Genomic DNA, 25,429 nt, shown 5'->3' with positions numbered 1-25,429 from the left:
TGCAAAGTGACTAATAGTAATACCTATTACAGTAATTTAAGTAACACCATTTAGAGTAATTTCATCTTTAGTACTGTATTTATACTACTAAGAAAGCCGCCAACGATTCAAGCTGCACTCACTGGTGAAACCTTATGCTATATATGTAATTAATTTATTTCCTAAATTCTTACCTCCCTCCACCCCCTCCATTGGAAAATAAACTCTAAGAATGCTAAAGTTTTTGTGTGTTTTTCTTCAACGCTTAGAGCAGTGCCTGGCACCTAACAGTCAATATCTGCTAACTTTGATGAATGAATGGTATATTTATATTATGCAATATTACTATGCAGCCATGAAACACAATGAGTTAGAGTGGTACCAGCTAATTTAATGGAATTTCCAGAAGTATGAAATTAAGAAAACAAGAAGAAAAGTGTCAAAAATATCATCCCACTTTTTTTTTCTTCCCTGAAACGGAGTCTTGCTCTGACACCCAGGCTACAGTATAGTGCTGCCATCATGGCTCACTGCAACCTCAAACTTCTGGGCTCAGGGAATCCTTCTGCCTCAGCCTCCCATGTAGCTGGGACTACAGGTGTGTGCCACAACGCCCAGCTAATTTATTTTAAATTATTTTTTGTAGAGACAGGGTCTCCCTATGTTGCCCAGGCTGGTCTCAAACTACTAGGCTCAAGTGATCCTCCCACCTCAGCTTCCTGAAGTGTTGGGATTACAGGTGTGAGCCACTGTGCCCAGCCTAATCCCACTTTTTAAAAAGTATACCCCCAAATCCATACACTGGTGAGGAAGTGGAGAACGTGGAATCCTCATACACAGAATTTAAAATGGTACAGCTCTGGAGAACATTATAGCAGTTTCTCAAAATGTTTAACATAGCTACTACATGACCCAGCAATTCAACTCCCAGATATACACCTGAGAGAACTGAAAGGATATGTCCACACAAAAATTTGCAGAGGAACTTGTACACACTTGTTCACAGTAGCATTATTCATAATAGCCCAAAGTGGCAAAAACGCAAATGTTCATCAACTGATGGACAAATAAAGCATGAACAACTGATGGACAAATAAAGTATATCATTCAGCATATAAGAAATGAAGTGCTAATACATGCTACAACAGGGATAGACCTTGATAACATTTTGCTAAATGAAAAAAGCCAAACAAAAGGTCACATGTTGTATGATTCCATTTACATAAAAATACCTAGACTAGGCAAATCCATAGAGACACAAAGATCAGTGACTGCCCAGAGCCAGAGGGAGTGGTGAATGTGAAATGACTACTAATGAGTACAGACTTCTTTCTGAGGTATTGAACATGTTATGGAATCAGATGGTGGTGATCAATGCATAACTTTGTGAATATACCAAAAACCACATGAAAGGTACACTTTAAAAGCCTGAATTTTAAGGTATGTGAATTATATCTCCATAAACCTGTGATTTTGTTAATATACGCTTATTTGCAAATGAATACATGGATAATGAGGAATAATATGAAAGGTTAATGACAACCTTGGTGATAGGGTACAGGAGACTGGGAGAGGAAGATAAGTGTTGAGGTAGAAGAAGACAAAAAAATAAAAGACTAAAACAATAATCCAGGGCCAGAGGCCATGAGTTGGGAGATGGAGCAAGATGATGTGTACAAAGAAATGAGCATAAATCATAAAAATGAGGGAACTAGGGTTGAAAACTCCAGCAAGTAGTTTGTAATGGGGGAGACGAAGCAAACCTAAGTAACTGCAATGATTCAACGGAATTTGCAGAAAATGCAGAAGGGCGAGAAAAACAATGAAAAAATGGATCAGAAGATTTAAAATTGGCTCTACCCCACCAAAGTTTTAAAAAGCAAGCAAGAAGAAAATTCAGTTGCTCCTGGGCAAGAATTCTTGGTCCCAGTGGGATAGAACCAAACAATGATAAGGAGACACCAGTGTTTTGTAAGCAAGATAATATATTAAGGAGAGAAAAGGGGCATTTATCGGGAGAAGAGGTCTCACTGTGATTGTTCTGGAATAAAGTAGCCCCATCGGACTGCCTCAGGAACTCATGGTGGAAGAGGTGCCACTGGAAAATGGCTTAGTCGGGATCTTCCCCAAGAACACTAGAAGAGAGAGAGGAAGAATAGAATAGCTTTAAATTTTAGCAGATATTTCTTTTTCTTGTTTAATTAAAATAAATCTTATTGACCTAATATTTTTGAGACTGGGCTCTTGCAATGCTGCCCAAGCTGAACTCAAACTCCTAGGCTCAAGAGATTCTCCCACTTCAGCCTCCTGAAAAGCTGGCACTACAGGTGCACACCACTGGGCCCAGCATAATGGCTATTTCTTGACAAATCTTGACAATGCCACCAGTATGTTTTTCTTTAGAGACAGAGTCTCGCTTTGTAGCCCAGGCTGGAGAACAGTGGTGTGATCCTGGCTCACTGCAGCCTCAAACACCTGGACTCAGGAGATCCCCCTGCCTCAGCCTCTCGAGTAGCAGAGACTACAGTTGTGCACCACCACACCTGGTGAATTTTATTTTATTTTATTTTATTATACTTTAAGTTCTAGGGTACATACACCTGGCTAATTATAAAATGTTTATCTGTACAGACAGGGTCTCGTTATGTTGCCCAGGCTGGTCTCGAACTCTCAGCCTCAAGCAATCCTCTCCTCTTCACCTTCCAAAGCCCTGAAATATGCCCATATCCAGCCTGCCACCAGTTTCTTTGCATACTTCTTTCCTAGGATTGACCAATACCTTTACTTTCTTCTGTGTACAGCTCAGCATTAAAAAAAAAAAAAAAAAGTTTAGGCTGGGCACAATGGGTCATGCCTGTAATCCCAACACTTAGGGTGGCCAAGGTGGGAGGTTTGCTTGAACCCAGGAGGTCCACACCAGCCTAGGCAAGATGGCAAGACCACGTCTCTCAAAAACAATTTTTGTAAAATTAGCCAGGTGTGCTGGTGCGGGCCTGCAGTCTCAGCTAGTGAGAAGACTAAGGCAAGAGGAACCCTTGAACCCAGGAGTTCAAGGCTACGGTGAGCTGTGATCACCTCTCCAGCCTGGGTGATAGGGTGAGACCCAGTCTCTGAAAACAATTAAAAATAAAAAAAGTTGAATAATGAGTCTTCTTCTTAGAGGCAATGTATTTTTCCTCTTTAACTTTTTGTTTTCCTTAGGCTATATGCACAATAGACAAAGTTGAAATTTAATCTTAATCTCGTAAACCCTTACTGTCCAAACACATCAAACTCAAAAAAAAAAAAAAAAAGACAAAAACAAAAAAGGTGAAAGGTGTACAAGAGAAAAAAGGGAAGTAATCTGTGCCAAATGTACATTCCTTCCACAATTTGGGACAAAAATGATGCCTACCTGGTCTCTGGGTGCCAAAATAAGACATTAGAGACACTCCCCTCCTTCAAGAAATAAAATTGGAATCAGACACTAAGATACAATTAAACAGACTTTGAAAGTTGGTACGCACTACTGGGAGGTGTCTCACAGCTGGCAGGGTCAACTGCAACTAGAAGAAAAGCTCCTAAGGGCAGAAACTAAGTGGCTCACTTCCTCTGTAACACTGCCGTGCCCAGCACTGTACCAGCACCCCAGCAGAGTCAACAACTTTCCGTCAAGCCACACACTTACGGTCTCATCGTCCAGTGGAGGCCGCAGACGAGACATAGTGTGCCAAATCCCAAATGCACAGGGTGCCAGACAAGTCTGCGGGAGGCAGGAGGACTAGGGAAGCCTTCCAGGAAAGGTGATGCCTGAGCTGAGTTGTTTTTCTTTTGAGTTTGGAACATTAATTTAATCAGAGGAAAACAAGGGACATGGAAAGGGCAAGGAAATAAGAAAATGAGCTGAGTTTTGAAGGCAATGATCAGATGAAGTGAGAGAAGAATATTCCAGCAGAGGGAGACAAGGAGACTGCAGAGATTTCAAGGGGCCAAGAGCTGTTCGGTGCAGCTCAGTGAAGCACCTAAACAGAGGTGGGGGAAGGAGAACAGGGGTCAAAGCCCAGTATTGAAGTGTTCTGGATACCAAGCTAAGGAGACCTTATTACGAAGGTACTGGGGTTGCTGAAGGGTTTAAATGGGAGAGTGATTGTGAACAGATTAATAGTTTGGAAAGATACAGGCAGAAGTAAACCTCTGGATTTAACCAAAAAATAAAGGACAGAACCACAATGAAGATGTTGGAAAAGATCAGGAAAAACACTGTTAAAAGATATTCACTCTCGGGGCCGGGCGCTGTGGCTCACGCCTTAAATCCCGGCACTTTGGTAGGCCGAGGCGGGCTGATCACGAGGTCAGGAGATCGAGACCATCCTGGCTAACACGGTCAAACCCCGTCTCTACTAAAAATACAAAAAATTAGCAGGGTGTGGTGGCGGGCGCCTGTAGTCCCAACTACTCCAGAGGCTGAGGCAGGAGAATGGCGTGAACCCGGTAGGCGGAGCTTGCGGTGAGCCGAGATCAGGCCACTGGAATCCAGCCTGGGCGACAGAGGGAGACTCCATCTCAAAAACAAACAAACAAAAAGAAGATATTCACTCTCTTATTTACGGATTTTCTTTATGGAGTTACCAAATTATCCTTTGAAAATTGAGAATTCAGAAGTGGCTGAGAGCAGTCAGTCACTCTTCAGAATGTAAAAACTACTATTCTGAAGTAGATATTACATTATTAATTTCCTTTCAAGATGCTTTAAAAATGAGCCTTTTGATACACCGCAGGTTTTTAAAGAGTATGTCACAATAACTAAATCTTACTTGAAATTAACAGAAGAAGAGCACTATAAATTTTAAAGGCTTCACAGACACAGGGATCATCTGTTATGTTCACTTTGGAACAGATCATAATTGTCCCTCCTCCTCAACATACCCAAAATACGTTGTTTAAGGCTACTTTCTTAATGGTCATGTTATTTCACAGCAAAAGACTGGGGTCACAATGATATCTGAGCTGACAGAAAACCCCATGGGGGTTTTTACCTCGCAGCTAGTCTATTCAGTACTAACAATTCCAACCACCAGAAGGAATTTCCCTGCCTAGGCTTATTTTGTTGGCACAACACAAAAAAATCTCCTGGGGCCGAGTGAGGGGGTTTGTGCCTGTAATCCCAGCACTTTGGGGGTTGAGGCGGGCGGATCATCTGAGGTCGGGAGTTCCAGACCATCCTGACCAACATGGAGAAACACTGTCTCTACTAAAAATACAGAATTAGCCAGGAGTGGTGGCACATGCCTGTAATCCAGCTACCTGGGAGGCTGAGGCAGGAGAATCGCTTGAACCTGGGAGGCAGAGGTTGCGGTGAGCCGAGATCATGCCATTAGACTCCAGCCTGGGCAACAAGAGCGAAACTCTGTCTCAAAATAAAATATCTCCTGACATTTTATATCTAATAAGAAAAGATCTATTTAACAATGATCAGAATAGGAACATCTTTAATACCAGGCAAACTTAAAAGCTTTCTCAGTGGATTTCTCAGTAGACTGTGACAAATGACCTCAAAATAAACTCATATTTACTCTTAAGAAATAATTTGTATTTGAATCTTCTTAACAACAAAAGCCCCAGGAACTTTTTCCTGAACTCCCAAACAATAGCAGCAAAACGAGATTCTCGGCTCTCTTTATTTTTACAAATCACAATAAGATAACTAACCTTGTATTTGCTATTATTTACATTTACTGTATATCACCATTTACTATCACCATCATTTCATAAAAGATGCTTTATTTTAACACCAAGAAAGCAGGACTTTTTTTTTTTTTTTTTAGAAAGGATAGTCCTTTAATCGAACAAATTTAATTGTATAAAAGACTCCCAATATTGTCCTTTTTTTTTCTTATTTCTGTTCCCTTACTGAGCTGAGCAGTTTGCATAATACCACACACAAGTTAGTCATGTGATTTAAATATGTATATGATAGTAATTTTGATACTATCACTTAAGTCATTCGAAATATCAGATGCACTGTGTGTCAAGTCAGTTATAGAGAACCACTGCTTCAGAGAAATCACATCTGAGGAGGAAACACTGCAGATACACCCCCTAAAAGTTCACCTTTGAAACAGAAATTTTGATACAAACTTCACTTTAACTACAACTGTAATTGTAATTATTACAGTTATTCTCCACTCACTAGATACTGTACTTGACACTCACGTTATTTGGTTGGCTACCAACGTGCACCTGTGATAAAGCTTTCCTATGGCACAACATTCACTTTCTTACTGAAAATGTCAAGAAAACCCCTACACACCTGCAACCATTAGGAAGCATTCTCCAGCTATCAAAAAAGTCACTGAATCGGCTAAGCGACTCTGTGTGGTATACACTAAATCAAAGGGGAAAAGGTGTTTTTTTGGAGGAAAAAAATACTGGATCAGCCATTTATTCATAGAAACAATTTTACCCACAACAATACTTCTCCTTTCACTATATACCCTTCTATATTGGTTTGGTTATTGTATAACATACATGTATATTGTTATGGCTGGGGATTTTTTTTTCTTTTTTGAGACGGAGTCTCATTCTGTCGCCCAGGCTGGAGTGCAGTGGCAAGACCTCAGTTCACTGCACCCTCCGCCTCCTAAGTGATTCTCCTGCCTTGGCCTCCCGAGCCTCTGGGATCACAAGCGTGTGCCACCATGCCTGGCTAATTTTTATATTTTTTGTAGAGACCGGGTTTCACCATGTTGTTATTGAACTCCTGACCTCAGGTGATCTGCCCTTCTCGGCCTCCCAAACTACTGAGATTACAGGCGGGAGCCACTGAGCTCGACCTTGTTATGTCTGGTTTTTGTTTTGTTTTTTTGAGATGGAGTCTTGCTCTGTCACCCAGGATGGAGTACAGTGGCACGATCTTGGCTCACTGCAACCTCTGCCTCCCGGGTTCAAGCAATTCTCCTGCCTCACCCACCTCAGTAGCTGGGATTACAGGCACGCGCCAATATGCCCAGCTAATTTTTGTATTTTTAGTAGAGACAGGATTTTACCATGTCGGTCAGGCTGGTCTCAAACTCCTGACTTCAGGTGATCCACCCACCCTGGCCTCCCAAAGTGCCAGGATTACAGGCATGAGCCACCGCGCCCAGCCTAGTTTTTAATTACTAAGAAAAAATTACTATAGTCCTTTTGGTATCACCTACATTGCCAAAGCTGCAGTCCCCCTCCACTCCCGGAAGCCACCAGAAATGACTGCTGTTGTCTGCAAAGCCCACAACTCTGATTTCATCTCAAGATATGTCCTACTGGGTGACTGCAAATGTCATTCTTTAAAGGCTTGTATCTGTTACAAGCTTGGGAAATATTATCAATGGCTTAAGAGGCTCTTTTGACAAAAGAAAACACTGTTCCCTGTAACCCCAGCTAGTCAGGAGGCTGAGGCAGGAGAATCGCTTGAACCCAGGGGGCGGAGGTTGCAGTGAGACGAGATCATGGCCCTGCACTCCAGCCTGGGCGACAGAGTGAGACTCGTCTCAAAAAAAAAAAAAAAAAAAGGAAGAATGTGCCCAACCTTCATGTCATGAAGGCCATGCAGTCTTTCAAGTCCCGAGGCTACTACATGAAGGAACAGTTTGCCTGGAGTCATGTCTGCTGGTACCTTACCAATGAGGATATCCAGTATCTCCGTGATTACCTTCATCTGCCCCTGGAGATTGTGCCTGCCACCCTACGCCGCAGCCGTCCATGGACTGGCAGGCCTCAGTCTAAAGGTCTGGAGGGTGAGCGACCTGCAAGACTCAACGAGAGGGGAAGCCGACAGAGATACCTACAGAGGGAATGCTATGCCCCCTGGTGCCAACAAGAAAGCCGAGGCTGCGGCTGGGTCAGCAACCGAATTCCAGTTTAGAGGCAGATTTGGTCGTGGACGCCGTCAGCCACCTCAGTAAAATTGGAGAAGATTATTTTGCATTGAATAAACTTACAGCCAAAAAGACTTAAAAAAAAAGAAAAAAATTATATTATGTCGCAAATGAACCCGTTGCAATGATCATACAGGTTTTTTCCTTTGATAGTTTGTACTACTTTAATAGTTTTTTCTTTTATTACATCATCTTAGTTTCCTAGGAAAACCCCAACTTGGTCATGATACATGTTTAATCCATTGCTGGATTATTTGCTAATATTTTATTTAGCATTTTTGCATATATGTCCATAAGAAGTTAGTCTATACTTTTGCCTGCTTGTACTATTTATGTCTGGTTTGGTTTTAAGCTTATATTAAATTCACAATGAGTTGGGGAGAATTCCATTTGCTTCTTTTTCTGTAAGGTTATGTAGGCCGGGGTCGTGTGTGGTGGCTTATGTCTGTAATCCCAGCACTTTGGGAGGCCAAGGCGGGCGAATCACGAGGACAGGGGTCGAGACCACCCTGGCTAACACGGTGAAACCCCGTCTCTACTGAAAATACAAAAAATTAGCCAGGTGTGGTGGCGGGCGCCTGTAGTCTCAGCTACTCGGGAGGCTGAGGCAGCAGAATGGCCTGAACTCGGGAGGCGGAGCTTGCAGTGAGCCGAGATCGCGCCACTGCACTCCAGCCTGGACGACAGAGCGAGACTCCGTCTCAAAAAAAAAAAAAAAAATTATGTAGGCCGCGCACTGTGGGTCGTGCTTGTAATCCTAGCACATTGGGAGGCCGAGGCAGGTGGATTACCTGAGGTCAGGTGTCCGAGAACACCCTGGCTAACATGGTGAAACCCCGTCTCTACTAAAAATACAAAAGATTAGCCAGGCACACCTGTAATCCTAGCTACTGTGGAGGCTGAGGGAGGAGAACCGCTTGAACCTGGGAGGCGGAGTTTGCGGTGAGCAGAGATCATGCCACTGCACTCCAGTCTGGGCTACAGAGCGAGACTTCCTCTCAAAAATAAATAAATAAATAAATTATTTTAAAAAAATTCTGTAGAAGATAAAGACTTTCTGTTCTTCTTAATGTTTGCTGAACTTATCTATAAAATCATCTGGGCCAGGTGCTTTTCTTTGGTTTTGTTTTTTGTGAGATTTTTGACTGGATGGGATACAGATTTTAAAATAAACATTCAATTCCTTTAATGGTTCTAGATCTAGACAAGGTTTTCTGTTTCTTCCTACTTCGTTTTTATGAAGTTATATTTTTCTTTTGAGCCGGAGTTTCTCTGTTGTCCAGGCTAGACTGCAGTCACCCCATCTTGGCTCACTGCAACCTCCGCCTCCCAGGTTCAAGTGATTCTCCCGCCTCAGGCTCCCGAGTAGCTGGGACTACAGGCAAACGTCAAAACGCCCGGCTAATTTTTGTATTTTTAGTAGAGATGGAGTTTTGCCATATTGGTCAGGCTGGTCTCGAACTCCTGACCTCAGGTGATCGACCTGTCTTAGCCTCCCAAAGTGCTAGGATTACAGGTGTACATTTATTTATTTGAGATGGAATCTTGCTCTGTATTTATTAATTTATTTATTTGAGATGGAGTCTTGCTCCATCGCCCAGGCTAGAGTGCAGTGGTGTAATCTTGGCTCACTGCACCCTCTGCCTTCCAGGTTCAAGCGATTCTCCTGCCTCAGTGTCCCAAGTAGCTGGGATTACAGGTGCCTGCCACCACAGCTGGCTAATTTTTGTATTTTTAGTAGAGACAGTGTTTCACCATCTTGGCCAGGCTCGTCTCGGGCTCCTGACCTCATGAACCACCTGCCTCAGCCTCCCAAAGTGTTGGGATTACAGGCCTAAGGCACATGCTCGGCCGTATTTATTTATTTAATTATTTAGAGACAAAGTCTTGCTCTGTCACCCAGGCTGGAGTGCAGTGGCGCCATCTCAGCTCACTGCAGCCTCCGCCTCCGAGGTTTAAGCGATTCTCATGCCTCAGCCTCCTGAGTAACTGGGACTACAGGTACTCACCACCACGCAGGGATATTTTTTTCTGTTTTTTTGTAGAGACACGGTTTCACCATGTTGGCCAGGCTGGTCTCGAACTCCTGACCTTAGGTGATCTGACAGCCTCGTCCTCTCAAAGTACTGGGATTACAGGCATGAGCCACTGCGCCCGGCCTCTCACTACGTTTAAGTGATGCCATGGCTCATGCCTGTAATCCTAGCACTTTGGGAGGCCAAGGCAGGTGGATCACCTGAGGTCAGGAGTTCGACACGAGCCTGGCCAACATGAGGAAACCCCGTCTCTAGTAAAAATACAAAAATTAGTCAGGCGTGGTGGTACAAGCCTGTAGGCCCAGCTACTTGGAAGGCTGAGGCAGGAGAATCACTTTAACCGGGAGGCAGAGGTTGCAGTGAGCCAATATCATTCCACTGCACTCCAGCTTGGGTGACAGAGTGAGACACCGTCTCAAAAAAAAAAGAAAAAAAGAAAGAAAAAAATGTGATGCCGGGGCATCTCAGCCTCAATACCTGCATGAGCACAGTCATGTCCAGGCCAGGGCTGCTGGTCGAGGTCTGGCCCCATCTCTTCTAGAAGAAAGGGAGTAAGCTTGCAGGGAGGCTGGGGGACAAGATCCCAGGATCTCAGCCTCCGCTCATGGATCAGCTCTGAGACCCTGACTGAGCTGGGGGTGCTCTGTGTGCACTGGTTTCCCCAGCTGTCAAGTAAAGGGATTGGATGAGGAAGTCTTGTCAAGGTGGAATGATCTCAGATTTGGGGCAGCAGTGAATGATCCCGCTCCCTGGGCCCATGCCAGTGGCCTGGCCTCGGCTGAACACAGCCCCAACACTCTGGAATGGGGATGAGGGGGAAGTCAGCTCTTGCTCTTAGTAAGAGAGATGCAATAGGGCTCTGTGGCTGAGCTGGGTGCCTTGCCTCACACCTGTAATCCCAACCTTTGAGAGGCTGAGGCGGGAGGATTGCTTGAGGCTGGGAATTTTGAGAATAGCCTGGACAACATAGCCAGACCCCATGTCTACAAAATAATAAGAAAACACACAGCTATAGTCCAAGCTACTTGGCAGGCTGAGGCAGGAAGGTCCCTTGTGTCCGGGAATTGGAGGCTGCATTGAGCTATAATCGCACCACTGCACTCCAGCTTGGGTGACAAAGTGAGACCCTGTCTCTAAAAGAAAAAAATATCGGCCTGTGAGCATGGGTTTGATCTTCAAACAGGACCCGGAGGGTAGGGACAGACAGTGCTGTCACCCTTAGGTGCTGAACACTCAGAAACGGGCCAGCGGCAGTCCTTTCCTCACCTGCAGACACCAGATTGGGCAGAACAGCACGTGGCACTTGCAGCTCTTGCAGTGAGGGCAGAACCCAGTGTCAACCCTTCTGCCTGTGGGAGGGGCTGCTGAGGCCTGCGGAGAGGCCAGGGTGGAGGCTCGTCCCCTTGTCCAGCCCTTGGCGTGGTCTCCACCAGGTCCCCAGTCCACCAGTGCAGGGCTCCCCTGAGCCTGCTGCTGCCACGGGCCCTGTCTCTACCCAGGACGTCCCCCCACCCTCGCAGTGTCAGGGAAATGATCATGGTGGCGGTGACACTCCGCAGGCAGGGCTGCTGAGAGAAGCTGAGAAGGGTCACACTGCAGGCAGGCGCCCGTGTGACAAGCCCCTCTCACCCCGAGAGAGCTGACCAGGCAGCTCACGAGCAGAGCCACATCCCGGGAGTCCGAGAAAGGTCCTGGCTGGGCTCAGCCACCTCACTGGCCACGGGCAGCCTTTGTCGTGTGAGCCTTGCTCTCCTGGGGAGGCTCAGGCTGACAGCTGTGGGCATTGCCGAGGGTAACCTGTGGCCCAGTGTATATGGCCGGCTCTCCTCAAGCTGCATTCATTCAAGTAGGACCCAGGGTGCATGCCCATCTCCAGCCCAGGGCAGCTCCCCTGTAAGCTGGGTGAGCTACTGAAGCCAAGGCGGGAGGCAGCTGACAACACCCACGGCCCATGCGGAGGTGGTGGAAAGGCTGGACTCAGCAGCAACACCAAATCCCGGACCAGGCAGAAACCACCCAAGACTGAGGGGCTCGTGCCAGAGCGGTGGCCACAGGTAAGAACCCGGGCCCAGGGTGGCAGGAATCCTCCATGTCCCAGGGCTTAGCATAGCAAAGGAAGACCAGCCGGGTCACCCTGGTGGCCATCTGTCCCTGTCCCACCTGCAGAGTCAGAACAGCCTCTCCCCAGTGGGGATCATCTCTCTCTGCCAAAGCAACAGCGGTCCCTGCCCCAACCAGACTACCCCACTCAGTGGGGTTACGGATGCTGCTCCAGCATCCTAACACTGCCCAGCTGGTGCCTGCCTGTGCTCACCCACACCCCCCAGGCCGGCCTTCCCTGCAGCCTGGGCTTGGCCACCTTGGCCTGATTGAGCACTGAGGCCTCCTGGGCACCCAGCCCTATCACTGCACCTGCTGCTTCCAGCCCCACCCCACCGGCTCAGGGGTTCTTCCCAGCGGCGCTGATCATGAAGTCAACATGCACGCAAGTCGTCTCAGGAAACTTTTTAATGAAAGTGTCGGCCACGGTGGTGTGTAGGTGGCTGAGCTCAGATTGCAGCTGCTAAGACACCAGCCACTTACCAAGAGAAAGCCAGGCTGCTTCAAACCCAGGGCCCAAGGCAAAAAAGCATCACTTCCGGCCGGGGAGTCTGGAAGCCACGCCTTGTGGGAGGTCACACTGGCATCTAGGCCTTCGCCTGCATTGCAGAAGGAGAGCCAGGTCCCCCTCCTGGAGAACGCTGCGTTCCCCAGCCCCACACCGGCTTTGCCACCACACAGGCTGTTGAGGCAGGAGGTGGGTAAGACGTAGCTGTAGACCCAAAGCAACCACCAGCCCTGGGACCCTGCGGGAGAGGAGCACTTTTAGAACATGGAAAAGTGTGGTCATCCCATCATTAGACAGCACACATCCTACATAAATAAAAAGTCGTATGGGGAAGGAGGTTGGGGAGGGAATAAAAAATTGGCACAGACATTGATAGACTGGTTTCCAGTTTCAAGGTAACAGATGCACATCATGAGACCAGAGGAGGCAGAGACAAGGCTGGATTTGGCTTTTCTAAGCAACACGTGTTCCTGCGCAGGGCTGAATGGTCGCTGAGACAGAGATGGAAGCCAGGACAAGGGAGCCCACCGGGCCCAGATAGGTACAGAGAGCAGAGGCTCCTGTTCTGTCCTCGCCACCCACGACGGTGACACTGCTTGTAAATGGTGGCTGTGCTCTCCCAGCAAGAAAAAAGCACAACTAAATCCACACTGCACACAGACGCAGACAGAAAGCCTTCAAGTGGCTGTTTTCTGCTCCCTGCCTTGCCAGGTCCACAAGCAGAGAGGAGTGTCAGGCGCATGGCCCCACTGTCAGGCTCCCTAGTGAGCTGCGGGTTCAGCAGGAGCTGCCCACTGACACACAGGGGACACCCACTCCTCCCACCTTGGGAGCGGGTGCCAGACAGAGCCGCACTGGGTGCTGGTGTCATCCAGGGACCCCACACACTTCCTTAAATGTGATCCTGCTTCCCTCTGGGCAGCTGCATCCTCTCCTCCTGCAGGACCGTGTGGAAACTTGGCTCTCAGTTTGCTCTCCCTTCTCTCCTCTGCCTGCCCCAAGCCCCTCTTTCTAAAAAAGTGATGGAATATTCATGGGGTTATTTCTTGAAAATACTTGGCGGTCTCCATGCTTCTGTTTTCTTTGAGCCAGGTGGTCAGGAGGGTTTACAAAGAATGCCTGGGCTCCCCCGCAGGTGTCGGCAGATGGGGTAGCGAATGGTCCTGTGCCTCCACCTGCTCCGGGAGGGAGTCTCCCGTCTCTAGGCCTGGCCCCTTCCTAACCCTCCACGTATCCTGTTCTCCAGAGACTTCAGAACCCACTCCTGAGAACAGCGGAGCCAGGCGCTTAGAGGAAGACCAAATGCTGCCAGGACACGGATTGTCCAGGGATTACATTCCAGCATCTTATTAGGTATCTGGATCTGTTCGGAAAAAAATTAGAAACTATGTATAAAACTTACAAATATTCAAGTATCAAAAGGTTATTTAGGATGAAAGTTTTAAAACAAGTCATCAGCAAGCTGCTGCCACCAAGTGGAGACTTATACAAAAGTTGAGCGAGTCCACTGAGCTGAGAGGACAGAAATGAAGTCACCTGTGCTGGGGCAGGGGCAGGGACACTGGGGGCAGGGAGTGTGTGGGCAGAGAAGCCAGAGAAGTCCAGGCCTGTGGAAGCCAAACAGGAGAGCGTGGGCCGGAAGGGCGGTCAGGATCGGGGGACGAGGTCGCTCTCCCTGGAGAACGAACCCTAAAGTGCGTAGCCTGGGGTTCCCTCCCTGGGGGTCCTGTCCCCTGACATTTCACAGGCCTTCTGAGCTGCCTTCCAAGGAGGACTAACATGGCAACAAAAGACCCATTTCTGCACAAAAATCCTTCTGGAAAGAAAAAGAAAGCCAAGAATGGAGTCAAAACGCTACCCAGTGCTGACTAAGCCTCTCAAACCCTGTTAGAAGTGGAGTGTGGTTTCTAAGTCAGGGAAATGGAAGAGGCCCCACCCACACAGGGACAGGGCCACGGCCCCCACAGGATGAAGCAGCAGCGTTTATTCAAGATACAACAGTGAGGGAATCCAGTCACGTTCCCTTCTCCCCAGAGAGGGCGCATCTTGACAAGTGATCCAGTAGAAATCTTTTAGACTCTAAGTTAAGTTCATAAAAACCACTCCCTTCACCCTGTCTCCCAGGGCCAGGCCTGGACTCCGAGATGAACTGGCTTGGGGCGCCCTCAGGTGGCCACATAAAAAACCACAGTCTGAGGCCAGCCTGGGGCTCCCAGACCTGGGCGGGATCTTTCCAGGCCACCTGTCCTTCGGCTTTGGGTCGCTGTCTCTTGGCAGATGGCCCAACACTTGGGGGTGGCCCAAGGACACCTCAGGAAGGTTCCCGCTCTACGGATGGCCCGATTAGCCAGAGGTTTCCAGGCCATCTGTCCGCCTCCAGGAGATGGACTGGGACCTTTAGACTTCGGTGGAGAACAGGATGCTCTGTCTCTTGCTGTCCGGGGCAGGGATGGCCTCCAGCTGCAGGAAGTACAGCAGCACCTGGACCTGCCCGGGCAGAGTAGGGAAGAGAAGAGTGGCTCAGAGCGGGGCTCACAGCTGCTGGTGGGAGGTCTTTGGGGCCCAAGCCTCCAAGTCCATCTCAGGTGCTGGGGACCCCTGCTGGTGTCATGAACCCCTTACAGTGAGATGGGGGTGGGGTGGGGTCCTGACAAGGCATGACTTGTTGGGTGGGGGGTGGTTATTTATTTTAGAGATGCACAGGGCCTTGCTCTGTCCCCCAGGCTGGAGTACAGTGGCTCCATCATGGATCACTGCAGCCTCTAACTCCTGGGCTCAAGAAATCCTCCTGTGTCAGCCTCCCAGATACCTAGGATTACAGATGTGTGCCACAATGCCTGGCTAATTTTTCTTTTTATTTTTTCTAGAGATGGGGTTTGCCACATTGCCCAGACTGGTTTCAAACACCTGGGATTGGTTATCCTGCCTTGGCCTCCCAAAGTGCTGGGATTACAGGCATGAGCCACCACACCCGAACACTTGAGGTAGTTTTAAGCTTCCAGCAAAGTGCACTAGCAGGACCAGGAGGTGGCCTGGGCCCCCACTATCACTCCCATCCATGCAGACCTAGGCAAGTCCCTCTCTGTGAATGTTGGCCACACCACATACAATGCAAGTAAGAAGATGGGCAGGACTGGGGGTGGGGCAGGCAGAGGCCACCTCTGTCAGGTCAGGGTTGCATGGGCTGGAGCCTGTCTTCCCATACCTGGGACATGACCTCCAAGGACCAGCTGTCAGTCATGGTGATAGGCTGGCTGGGGTTGGCAGGGAGCTTGCTCTCCTTCTCGGAGGGCCGGAGCAGCGTGGGGCCAAAGACCGTGGCGAGGTTGTGCAGGGACATCTTATTGACTGCCTCCTTCTCTGCCACCCTGTAGAGGACCAAAGCAGCGGGTGCTGTTTCAACGCCACCCCCAGGAGAGAGGCAGAGGGGCTGGGCTGTGCTGGAGTTCTCAGGAAGGGAGTGACCTCGACCCTGGCTGTGCTGCAAGCTGACTCCAGCCCTGGTACTTCTGGGTCTCAGTGGCCCAGGACAAGGAGCCAGCTCTGGGCTGGTGGGGAGGTCTCCTACTTGATGTGACTCGGAGGGAAGAGGGGGGTCCAAGTGCACTGCTGGCCACGGCCAAAGCTCTGAGCTCTTTTTTAAGGCCACAGTGCAGAGAGAGGAGGGTGGCAAAGAAGAGAGGCTGGGGCAGGGGTGGCAGTGGCACTAGTCGCCAAAGGCAGTGAGTGACTGCAGACAAGGGTCAGGAGAAAAGGTCCTCGGTGTTGGGGGTCTAGTGGGAGCAGAGGGGCACTCTGCGGCCTGGGGACCTGGAGCCCTGGGCTGCCATGGGAGAGCTGGGCTACCTTTTCAGGTGGTCCAGAAGGAAAAGGAAGGTGAGCAGGTTGGCCTCCGGCAGGGACAGCAGCAGGTTGAGCATGCAGCTCTCCTTTGCAACCGGGTCTGAAAGAGCTGCAGAAGGCGGTGGGTTACTCCTTGGGGTCACAACGAGCCAGAGACCTCTCCCGAGGTGTTCACATGGAGCACCTGGGGCTTGTGTCCCTGCACAGCCCAGGCTCGTCATCATCCTCAGTCTCACAGCTCTGGCCCCCATTGAGGACCCTGTGAGGGGCACCTGTGTGGGGTGTGAACCACCTGAACGCCTTTTCTCTACCTCGCAGGGGTCAGCAGCACCCGGCAAACAGCAGCAGGAGGAGCCGCTAGAGCAGCTGCTCATGGGCAGAGCTGCCCTTGGACAACTCCTGCCACCACCCCCTCCCCAGAGGAGCCCAAGGCAGGGGAGGCTCAGCATGGAATGAAACAGGGGAGTGAGGAACACAAGGAGGTGGGAAGTGGGAGGGTCCCAGCCCCACCAAGTACGCAGAGACCCCCTCGTCGTCCTGGACACCACAGGGGCACCTGCAGGCTGGGAGACCAGGTCCTCTGTGCATGGGCCCGGGAGGCAGACCTGCCCTAAGGGTGATGCAGAGGCCACAGGTACTGCACACACCAGCACCCACTCTAGACATCAGCCTCCAGGTTGACTAAGGGTCAGGTCATGTTTGAAACCATGCTTGGCTGGACCAGGACCCATGGCAAGAGCACCCAGGCACCCTCCTTCAGCCCTGGTCTGCAGGAAGGAGGACAGCAGACTTTAGGACCCCACAGCACAGCAGTGCTGACTATTTCAGCCTCTTGGTCTCCTTGAGGAGTAGGGACAGGGAGCCCTCTAGGGATGGGCAAGGCCTTCCAGGACAGGCTCGGTTCTGGTCCCCTGCTTTTTGAGGTTGGGTTAAAATGCCGACCATGGCAGAGGGGGCACAGCTTGGGTTCCCACACCTCACTTTTCACAGCCTCCAAGGGCAGCAGTGCACGTGGAGGAGACGTCTCCCATGAGGCCAAGGCCTCCAGTGCTCACCGATGCCCTCTGCGAAGTTGGGGTAGAACTCGTCAGTGAAGAGGGGCTCGGGCAGCTCACGGAAGTACAGCTTCAGCGTGCCTGCGATGGCGTTCACGTCCATCTCGCTCATCATCACCGACACGTCCTTGTTATCTGGAAAGAGCACGGAAATGCAGCGGCCTCCTTGAGGATCCCGAGTGAGTCTCCCACCATCCCTGCCTTGGCTAAAGCACTGTCCCTGCCATGCTGACCACTGTGCGGGTCCCTCCTGGGCTTTGAGCAGCTCATCTGACTCCTCCCAAGAGCTGTGCATGGTTCTGTGTCTGCAGAGTTGATAGGGGTGCGTGGGCATTCCCATTCCTCTCCCCTGCTTGGCCTGATGTGATGGCCAGGAGGAGGCCAGCGTGGCAGGACACAGCGCCTGCGTGGGGATTGGGTGGCTCTGCCCTGTACATAGCAACCACCCCTGCACCAGTGTCGTCTGATAGCAGGAAGGCCGTGGGAGAATCTGATTGGTTTCAGTGTTTGAACCGGTGTCTTCCTTTGGACCCAATTGGCCATTGGTGCTTACATCCTCACCACAGGCCAGGTTCATTCTGGGCCCCCAGAGGGAGCTGAAACTACCACAGGGCCCTCCCAGGGATGCTGGGCATTCTAGGGGTCCTGGTCAGGGTTGGTGGTGTGTGCCCCAAAGAAGGGTCTGCAGGCACAAAATCCTGTTGAAGATGCTGGGAGGGACCCTCTGGGGTCTCAGTGCCCTCCCCTGGCATTTGTGACAGTTCCAGGTCCTTCATAGCCTGTGAGGGTTGGTGAGATGGAGGCAGAGATGCTGCAGCCCCAGCCTGGGCTGAATTTCATCAGTGCCCTCTGCCTGCCGCATCCTCACACATGGCAGGGGACAGACTGCACTGAGTCCTGGGCTTCCACCTCCTGTCCAACCCCAAGGCAGGAAGGCCAAGGCCCTGCAGAAACCCCTGGCCTACCCCAGCAAGTGGCATGCATGGCTAGGATGGTTTAAAAACTGGTTTCTACAGAGGCTTTTTCTACAACTCTTGTCTTCTCTTTTTTAAAAATAATAACACAGTAAATGAAGAAAAGACACAGAGAAGGATGTGACATGCCTGGGCCATGGAGCACTCTGAGATCTCATCGCGGACACCATTGCCCACACCTCCATCCCGTCCTGCGCAGGCCAACACTCACTGACGTCGAAGGCTGCCTTCAGTGCCTGGATGTCCGTGGCCACACCGGACACGCGGTAGATGCCCACCTCCTCCATGCCTCGGCGCTCGATCTCCTCCACGCACTGGCGCACGATGTAGGGCACCTTGGACCTCTCTCTCCTGCGGGAGGAGGGAATGTTCTCAGTGTCCTAACAGCCCTGCTTGGGCCATAACACAGGAGACCTGCTCCATATCTGCACACCCGGAGGTGGGGTGAGGACGGTGACGAAGGTACCCAGGTCTGGGGCTGCACACAGAGCCTTCTGCATGCCTGTCCTCCCTCTGCAAGCTCTGTCCTCATGGCATGTACTTTCTCAGGAACCTTTCAAGCGGCCAGAACCCCTGCGAATCACACATGACCTTTGCGGGAAGGTCAGGAGGCCTGTCTATGTCAAGTCAGCACGGGAAGGGCATCTGACAGATTCCAGGCCTGGGGTTAGCAGCCTGTACCCCCGGCTGGGAGGTCAGACCCGGTGTTGGTCCTGCCACCCACGTGCTGTGTGAGAGGAGAATCCCTGACCCCTGCCCTGGGCCTGGGCCTTAACACACATCCGACGAATGAATGAAGGGTTGCCTCAGCACCGGTGCTCCAAGTCCTGCGATGCTAAGTGCTTTTCTCCTCTGAGTCTTAGCAATGGACAATTCCAATACCTCCACACAGGACACTAGAGTAAGAATCCTTCACAGTTAGAACGCAGTGCTGTGCGGAGGCCTTAACTTGAGTTCTGTTTTGCACCTGGATTTACCAGCACATCAAAGCTGCTTCGCAAGCCCCCTCATTAGCAGGGCTTATCTGGGGGAGCTGCTGATGGAGTCCTCGCTGCTCATGCCCACAGCCCTCCCAGAGTGCTATGCGAGTGGCTGCCGTGCAGTTGGGGGTGGGGCGTGGTGTTTAGACACAGATAGGAGTCCAGGGTATGACTGATGGAGGCCCCGGCCCACGTGACCAGCAAGGTCAGAGGCCCAGCCAGATTCCATCCTGGGGAAGCAAATGAATTCTCAGAGGAAGTGGTCTATGTCTGCATGAACTGCTCTCAAACCAAACAGGCTTCTCTTGGCAACTGACTCGTGACAAAGGGGCAGGGGTTACGGCCATTCAACAGGAATCTGGGACCGTGATAAATTCCAAGCAAGGGCAGAAAACCCTGCACTTGGGCAGTTCCTGGAGCCAGCCTACTGCTTCCAAGCCAGGTGGCAAGGACATTCCTGAGCTGGTTTGCAGGAAACACAGGAGGTAGCTGAAGACGCCGTGTTCCCTGGGGCCTGACCTCACCGTGCAGTGGCCACGCACAGAGAGGAGAGACCCACACATGCTCTTTTCTGCAGAAACAGCTGAAGGGACAGGCACCCTCAGTGCGTGAGCCCAAGCCCCTCCCCACTCACTTGGTGACCACAGCAATCTTGACTCCGAAGACCCCTGTCTGTTTTCGGGACGGCATCCTCTTCAAGCTGAACTCCCTGCTGTTGAACTTGACCGAGAGCTTTACTTCGATCTACAGTAGGGAGAAGGGGCACAGTCCTCTAATCCTTCTGGTCCTCATAGCCCAAGGTCCCAAGGACCCCTGGGAGTCTCATCAAATATTTCCACCCCCAAGGCATGCAGAGGTCTCAGCATGAGGTGGAGCCGCCCCTCGGGGAAGCCCCTAGTCTACTTCAGCAAGAGCCAGGATTGTTGAAGATGATGTAAACGACTGGTTTCTGCAGAAGCACCTCCTAAAATCCCCGCTGCTTCTCTTGCTTGCTTGCTTTTTTTTAGATATAGGAGCTTGCAATGTTGCCCAGGCTGTAATCGAACTCTTGGGTTCCAGTGATTCTCCTGCCTCAGACTCCAGAGTAGCTGAGACTATAGGTGCACTGTGCCTGGCTTTCTCTTTCTTAGTAACAATTAAAAATTAAGTAGGAAAGACAGAATAATGTAAGAAAAAGCCAAGAATCTCAAATATTAACATTTTACCATTTATACCCGGGCCTTTTTGGGTGTGTCATTGCTTTTAAGGTCTAAACCTTTCTGGGGTACCTAAAGACAAATCAGGGGTCTCCATTTCTATGGGCAGCCCCCAGGTCCCTGAGTGGAGGCCCCACCTGTCCTGGTGGTGCCATGAGACCTTTGTTTGAGGAGGGATGCTCAGGGCCTGGCTGGCAACTGCATTCCAGCCAATGAATGACGATTCCCGTGCATGGTGATTCTGCTCTTGGGGGCCCTCCCTTCTCCAACCAGGCTCCCTCTCAGATGCTGCCTCAGGCTCAGCCACCTCTGACTGATTTGAAATGAACAGAGGCCACCCTATCCTTCTGGGGGAAGTGGGCACCAGGAGAGTCCCACGGACACGTACCCCATTCATGGCGATGACGGTGCGCTGCCAGTCTCTGTCCTGCAGGGCCTGCGGGTCCAGCTGAAAGGAAGGAGTCATGATTGGCAGAGGCCCTGGGGTCTGTTCAGAGGCCCCACGGGGCAGCAGCCCACACCCGCCACTTCCCCAACCCTTAGTCAGAGGCAGAGCCCGACTGCGGCCAGCACCTCCATCCAGAGGCCAACAGAGGTAGAGTAAGGAGGGGCCTGCCAGACACCCCTGGAACCCAGGGCCCCACTGCTCCCAGAGCCCTGCTGCCTGGGGTCCCCACCCCCTCCTCCCTCTGCCCCGCCCAGTTGGGAGCTGATGTGCAGGCTGGCAGGCTCTCTCCATCCGGCTTCCATCACCACGGGTGCTATGTGGAGCTCAGTGAAAGGTGAGCTGTCCAGCAGCAACTTCAGTAACAACTCCTGGGGGCCTGGCATCCACAGCTGCTGTCTGGGGAATTGTGGACACTGTTCTCCCCCTGCACCATGAACAGCTTGTGGCGGGAGGAGCCTGCAGGCCACACCAGTCCCATGGTTCAGAATCAGGCCCAGAAGGACCCAGAAACAAGCCCTAAATCAAGCAGCTGATGAGGGGGCCGGGAGGAAGCCCCTCTGTGACCCCTCTAACTTCTACCCCCACCCGGCACTATCCAGACAGCTAGCCTGCAGGAGCTTGTCCTTAATGTCACCCGAACACAGTCTGTCCTGGTATGTAACACCCTGTCATGACCAAGCCACATGTCCCCCATCCGTGAAGCCTCTGTCTCCCGTTTTATGGGGAGCACGTTCTATGTCAGCGGTTCCTGGGTATGCCAAGATCACTGGCTGGGCTGGGTGAATGAGCAGTACCATCTTGTTAAAAATACACCTCCCTGGCCAGGTGCGGTGGCTCACGCCTGTAATCCCAGCACTTTGAGAGGCTGAGGTGGGCGGATCACGAGGTCGGGAGGTTGAGACCATCCTGGCTAACATGGTGAAACCCTGTCCCTACTAAAAATACAACAAATTAGCTGGGCGTGGTGGTGGGCGTCTGTAGTCCCAGCTACTTGGGAGGCTGAGGCAGGAGAATGGTGTGAACTCAGGAGGTGGAGGTTGCAGTGAGCCAAGATGGCGCCACTGCACTCCAGCCTGGGCGACACAGCAAGACTTCGTCTCAAAAATAAAAGCAAAAACAAAAAAAACACCTCCCTGGGTTCCACCTGCAGAGAACTGACTCATAATCTGAGTGGGACCTGGGATTTACACAGCTAGAAACCCCAGGTAGTTCTGGAGTGAAGCCAGGTCACGGAGCCACCGTCTGACTCCATAGAAGGCCACTGCATCTGGCCTTGTGTTTCCATCCCTTGATTCAGGTGATGGTTCACTTCAGCCACAAGGCAAGCTGCCTAACAGCAGGGACCACACCTCATGATGTCTGCACACATTCACATGCGTGCACATATACATACACACACACGACGGTGCTGAGCACAGTGCCAGGCCTAGAGAGGGGCTGAGGACAGGCATCATTTCCACTGCAAGGGACCCTAGCGGCTACAGCCACCTGGGCCTTCTGCAGGTGAAGTGGCCAGAAAATAAGAAGCTCTGGAGCAGGTCAAGGAGCCCAGCCAGCTGCCCCCCTACTTCACAGGTGTGTGCACCTGGGCCTCCCTCCCTGCACCTGCTCAGCACGAAGGCTCACCACAGGCACACCTGGGGGTTGACCCCTTCTCACCTCCCCTTCTAGGTCCTACTGGTTAACGTTTCCCAAGGCTCTGAACTGTGCAGCCAGAGTGGCACAGAGAAGCAAAGGGCGGCGGGACGTCTCCCACCGGGGGCCATGCGGCCACAGGCTCTCATTCCGCACCTGGCCCTGAAGGTCGTCAGAGGCCACACTCCAGGCCTCAGGGACCCCACCCTGAGAAGCAGCATCTGTGAGCAGGGAGCGGTCAGTCAGAACCACACATAAAAAGGAAACTCTCAAGTGGCACTTTCCCCCGGAGTGAACCCTAAGCAGAGGCAGGAGAGGACAACATGAGGGATGCGGACAGAGTGCGCTTTCTCTGGAAAGGAGGAGTTTATACCACTGCTGGGAGCTTTAAAAAATGGAAACCCTGCCTGTGATATCAGCACTTTGAAAGGCCGAGGCAGGAGGATCACTTGAGCCCATGAGTTTAAGACCAGCCTGGGCAATATAGTGAGACCCTGTCTCTATAAAAAAAAAATTTTCAAAAGCATTAGCCAAGCATGGTGGCATGTGCCTGCAGTCCCAACTGCTCGGGAGGCTGAGGTGGGGGCAACACTTGAGGCTAGAAGGTGGAGACTGCTGTGAGCCATGATCATGCCATTGCACTCCAGCCTGCGCAACAAAGCGAGAGACCCTGGCTCTACTAACCAACCAAGTAACTGGAAACACAGAAACATGTTAAGCAGGAGACATTCTTACCTTTCCTTCAAAGAACAGCCATCACTGGGCCCCTCTCCCCTTGAAAACCCAGAACAGGCAGAAGCAGCTAACAAGCAACCCAGAGTCCAGGTAAGAAGAGACAGAAAGAGAAGCTGTCCAGACATCAGCGGCTGCCCCTCAAAGCCCCCCTGGAACCACGGCCCACAGGTGCTTTTCAGCAGAGGCCGCCCGGCTCCGGCCCGCCCGGCTGGGGTGGAAGTACCAAAGGAGGCCCTGCATCATGGCCAGGGTGGATGGTGACTCTTGCATGCTTGGCCTTGCTGCTCTGGGAAGCTGGTGGGGCTAAACGAGAGCTTCCAGCCTCCAAGGCCTTTTGACCAGGCTTTGAGGGAAACCCCACCCCGCAGTCTGGCTGGCCAAGGTCAAAGCTTCCCATCACCTCCGGGTTCCACTTTTTTGTGTGTGTGTGGGAAGAACACCCTCCCACCCCAGCCTATTGGTTACGGGAATTTCCAACGTGTCTCCATCTCCTCTAAAGCCCAGAAAAGCTGAGCTTCCTTCTCAAGTGGCTAGTTTCCTGTTGCCCAAGTTTGGAGACTGAGTAAAGTATGACTGGTCAGCCTGCCTTGTGCTGGAAGCAATCCAGACTGTCCAAAATCTGCACCACTCCCAGCAGGTAACCCCAATAATCAAATGCAGTGCCTCTGATGGACCCAGGGTGGAGGACACCCTGCTCAGGTCCTGCTCCCCCAGAGCTAGCTGGCTGAGCAATGTGCAGCCCTGGGTGGGGCTCCAGCCAGCGTCCACTCCCCAGCATTGGTGGTGTCCAGCGCCCACTCCAACCTGGTACTGATGCTGCCAGGAGGGCTCTTTATCGGGCCCCTCTCTGTGACTCCCAGTGACTGAAGACCAGGGTGTTGGCCTCCAGGCACTGGCTCTCACGGCGGTCCTGACTGGCAGCTCCAGTGGGAAAGGCTGTCCCAAGGCTGGCTCTGTTCCAAAGAACAGAGTGTGCGCCGCAGAGCGGAAGCCGTATAAAGAATAGCATGATAATGAGGCCTGTGCCTCAGCTCAGCCAATCCCAAACATTGCTCAAGGCTGGTACGCTCTCTCGTGCAGTTATTTAAAGCACCAGAGAAGTAAACAAGCAAAAGACTGGGGTTTGGAAAAACAGATGACCAAGGGGGAAACAGTTTTCCCTTAAGGGAAAAACCGAGGCACTCCGGATGCTGTCCAGGGTCCCCCTGGGTTGCAAGGTCTTGGTGAGGAACATGCCTGCTGCCTGGCCGGGGACTGGGCAGGCAGGGGTCTGTCTGCTCACATGCAGTGGTCTCAGGAGGATGGACCAGGTTGCTGCTCCTCTCCCCCTGGACTGGGTAAGGCAGGAGCCTTGAAAGAATGACTATGGTCAGCGGGCCTGGCAGATGGTGGCCTAGAGGTCTGCCTAGAAAACTATCGTGCACATCCATCCCAGGGAAGTGGTGGGGTGGGGGCTGAGGGAGGCCGAAGCCCAACTGGGGCAGGTGCTGTGTGCTGCCCTGAAGCATCACTGACCACTTTGCATGGTGGCTCTGCTGGGGGCCCAGCACTGCCCTGCTTGCTTTGTAGTCAGTGTGGCTGGATTGAGTCACCAATGGGCAGCCGGAGGACATCCTCTCACCCACCCTCAGCAGGGGCAGGGAGGGGGCTATGAGTAAACCTTCCAAAGGAGGAAATGCTTGTTCACTTAGCTCCTTGTAGACAACAGCTTCCTTCACGCCCATCGTCACCAGCCTGGATGGTCCAGCAGGGCAACCCCAGTTGTTCCTGTCTGGGCCCCATGTGTCTGCACTATAACCTACTCCCGGGGGTGGGTCTTTGCTGAGACCACCAGAGAACCTCTGTGTTCACCAGGAGAGAGATTACAGGCCTCCTGCTGTAGTCTATGACCACAATCTGCTCTCCTGAGATCCATCCTGCACCTTTTTTTTTTTTTTTTTAAGGCGGAGTCTCACTCTGTTGCCCAGGCTGGAGTGCAGTGGCGAGATCTCGGCTGACTGCAACCTCTGCCTCCTGGCTTCAAACCATTCTCTTGCCTCAGCCCC

General features: G+C 51.4%; 1 protein-coding gene, 1 long non-coding RNA gene and 2 pseudogenes across 3 annotated transcripts in view, besides 5 other annotated features; 2 read left to right on the top strand and 2 right to left on the bottom strand.

Moving 5' to 3' along the window:
* Positions 1-1,944: 1,944 nt before the first annotated feature.
* Positions 1,945-3,822, bottom strand: LINC02556 (long intergenic non-protein coding RNA 2556). The gene is made up of 2 exons (NR_149133.1): positions 3,647-3,822; positions 1,945-2,114 (listed from the first exon to the last, which is right to left on the bottom strand). It is a non-coding gene; the product is annotated as a long intergenic non-protein coding RNA 2556 (long non-coding RNA).
* On the top strand, positions 7,510-7,953 carry RPS10P30 (ribosomal protein S10 pseudogene 30; annotated as a pseudogene).
* On the top strand, positions 11,964-18,483 carry POM121L11P (POM121 transmembrane nucleoporin like 11, pseudogene; annotated as a pseudogene).
* Positions 12,401-25,429, bottom strand: part of BCR (BCR activator of RhoGEF and GTPase) — a 137,529-nt gene continuing 124,500 nt past the window's right edge. For both annotated transcript variants that reach the window (NM_004327.4, NM_021574.3), the window contains 7 exons: positions 20,955-21,014; positions 20,005-20,114; positions 18,602-18,741; positions 17,417-17,551; positions 16,365-16,470; positions 15,724-15,886; positions 12,401-15,005 (listed from right to left, as the gene is read on the bottom strand). In NM_004327.4, coding sequence (NP_004318.3) covers positions 14,916-15,005; positions 15,724-15,886; positions 16,365-16,470; positions 17,417-17,551; positions 18,602-18,741; positions 20,005-20,114; positions 20,955-21,014 — 804 coding nt within the window. In that variant the 3' untranslated portion in view covers positions 12,401-14,915. The remainder of the gene's footprint in view (positions 15,006-15,723; positions 15,887-16,364; positions 16,471-17,416; positions 17,552-18,601; positions 18,742-20,004; positions 20,115-20,954; positions 21,015-25,429) is intronic.
* Positions 14,522-14,816: an enhancer, noted in NCBI's record as "tiled region #15419; HepG2 Activating non-DNase unmatched - State 12:CtcfO". NCBI's record gives its function as "activates a minimal TATA promoter and a strong SV40 promoter by Sharpr-MPRA in HepG2 cells {active_cell/tissue: HepG2}" and the evidence as "EXISTENCE:reporter gene assay evidence [ECO:0000049][PMID:27701403]".
* Positions 14,652-14,771: a silencer, noted in NCBI's record as "silent region_13539". NCBI's record gives its function as "represses an Ori minimal core promoter by ATAC-STARR-seq in GM12878 lymphoblastoid cells {active_cell/tissue: GM12878}" and the evidence as "EXISTENCE:reporter gene assay evidence [ECO:0000049][PMID:35858748]".
* Positions 15,953-16,454: an enhancer, noted in NCBI's record as "H3K4me1 hESC enhancer chr22:23656171-23656672 (GRCh37/hg19 assembly coordinates)". NCBI's record gives its function as "activates a minimal SCP1, AML or CMV promoter by ChIP-STARR-seq in naive H9 embryonic stem cells {active_cell/tissue: H9 hESC(naive)}" and the evidence as "EXISTENCE:reporter gene assay evidence [ECO:0000049][PMID:30033119]".
* Positions 17,558-17,950: a mitotic recombination region, noted in NCBI's record as "BCR-ABL micro-breakpoint cluster region recombines with the ABL micro-breakpoint recombination sub-region within the ABL breakpoint recombination region, producing the e19a2 transcript". NCBI's record gives the evidence for it as "EXISTENCE:nucleotide sequencing assay evidence [ECO:0000219][PMID:15843824]".
* Positions 20,025-20,043: a mitotic recombination region, noted in NCBI's record as "BCR-ABL p225 breakpoint cluster region, recombines with the ABL p225 breakpoint recombination sub-region within the ABL breakpoint recombination region, producing the e18a2 transcript". NCBI's record gives the evidence for it as "EXISTENCE:nucleotide sequencing assay evidence [ECO:0000219][PMID:26252834, PMID:17268511]".

The sequence above is a fragment of the Homo sapiens genome, chromosome 22, assembly GCF_000001405.40.
Source record: "Homo sapiens chromosome 22, GRCh38.p14 Primary Assembly".
Lineage (NCBI taxonomy): Eukaryota > Metazoa > Chordata > Mammalia > Primates > Hominidae > Homo > Homo sapiens.
Note: the sequence above shows the minus strand (reverse complement) of the source record. Positions and strands in the feature narration are given on the sequence as shown.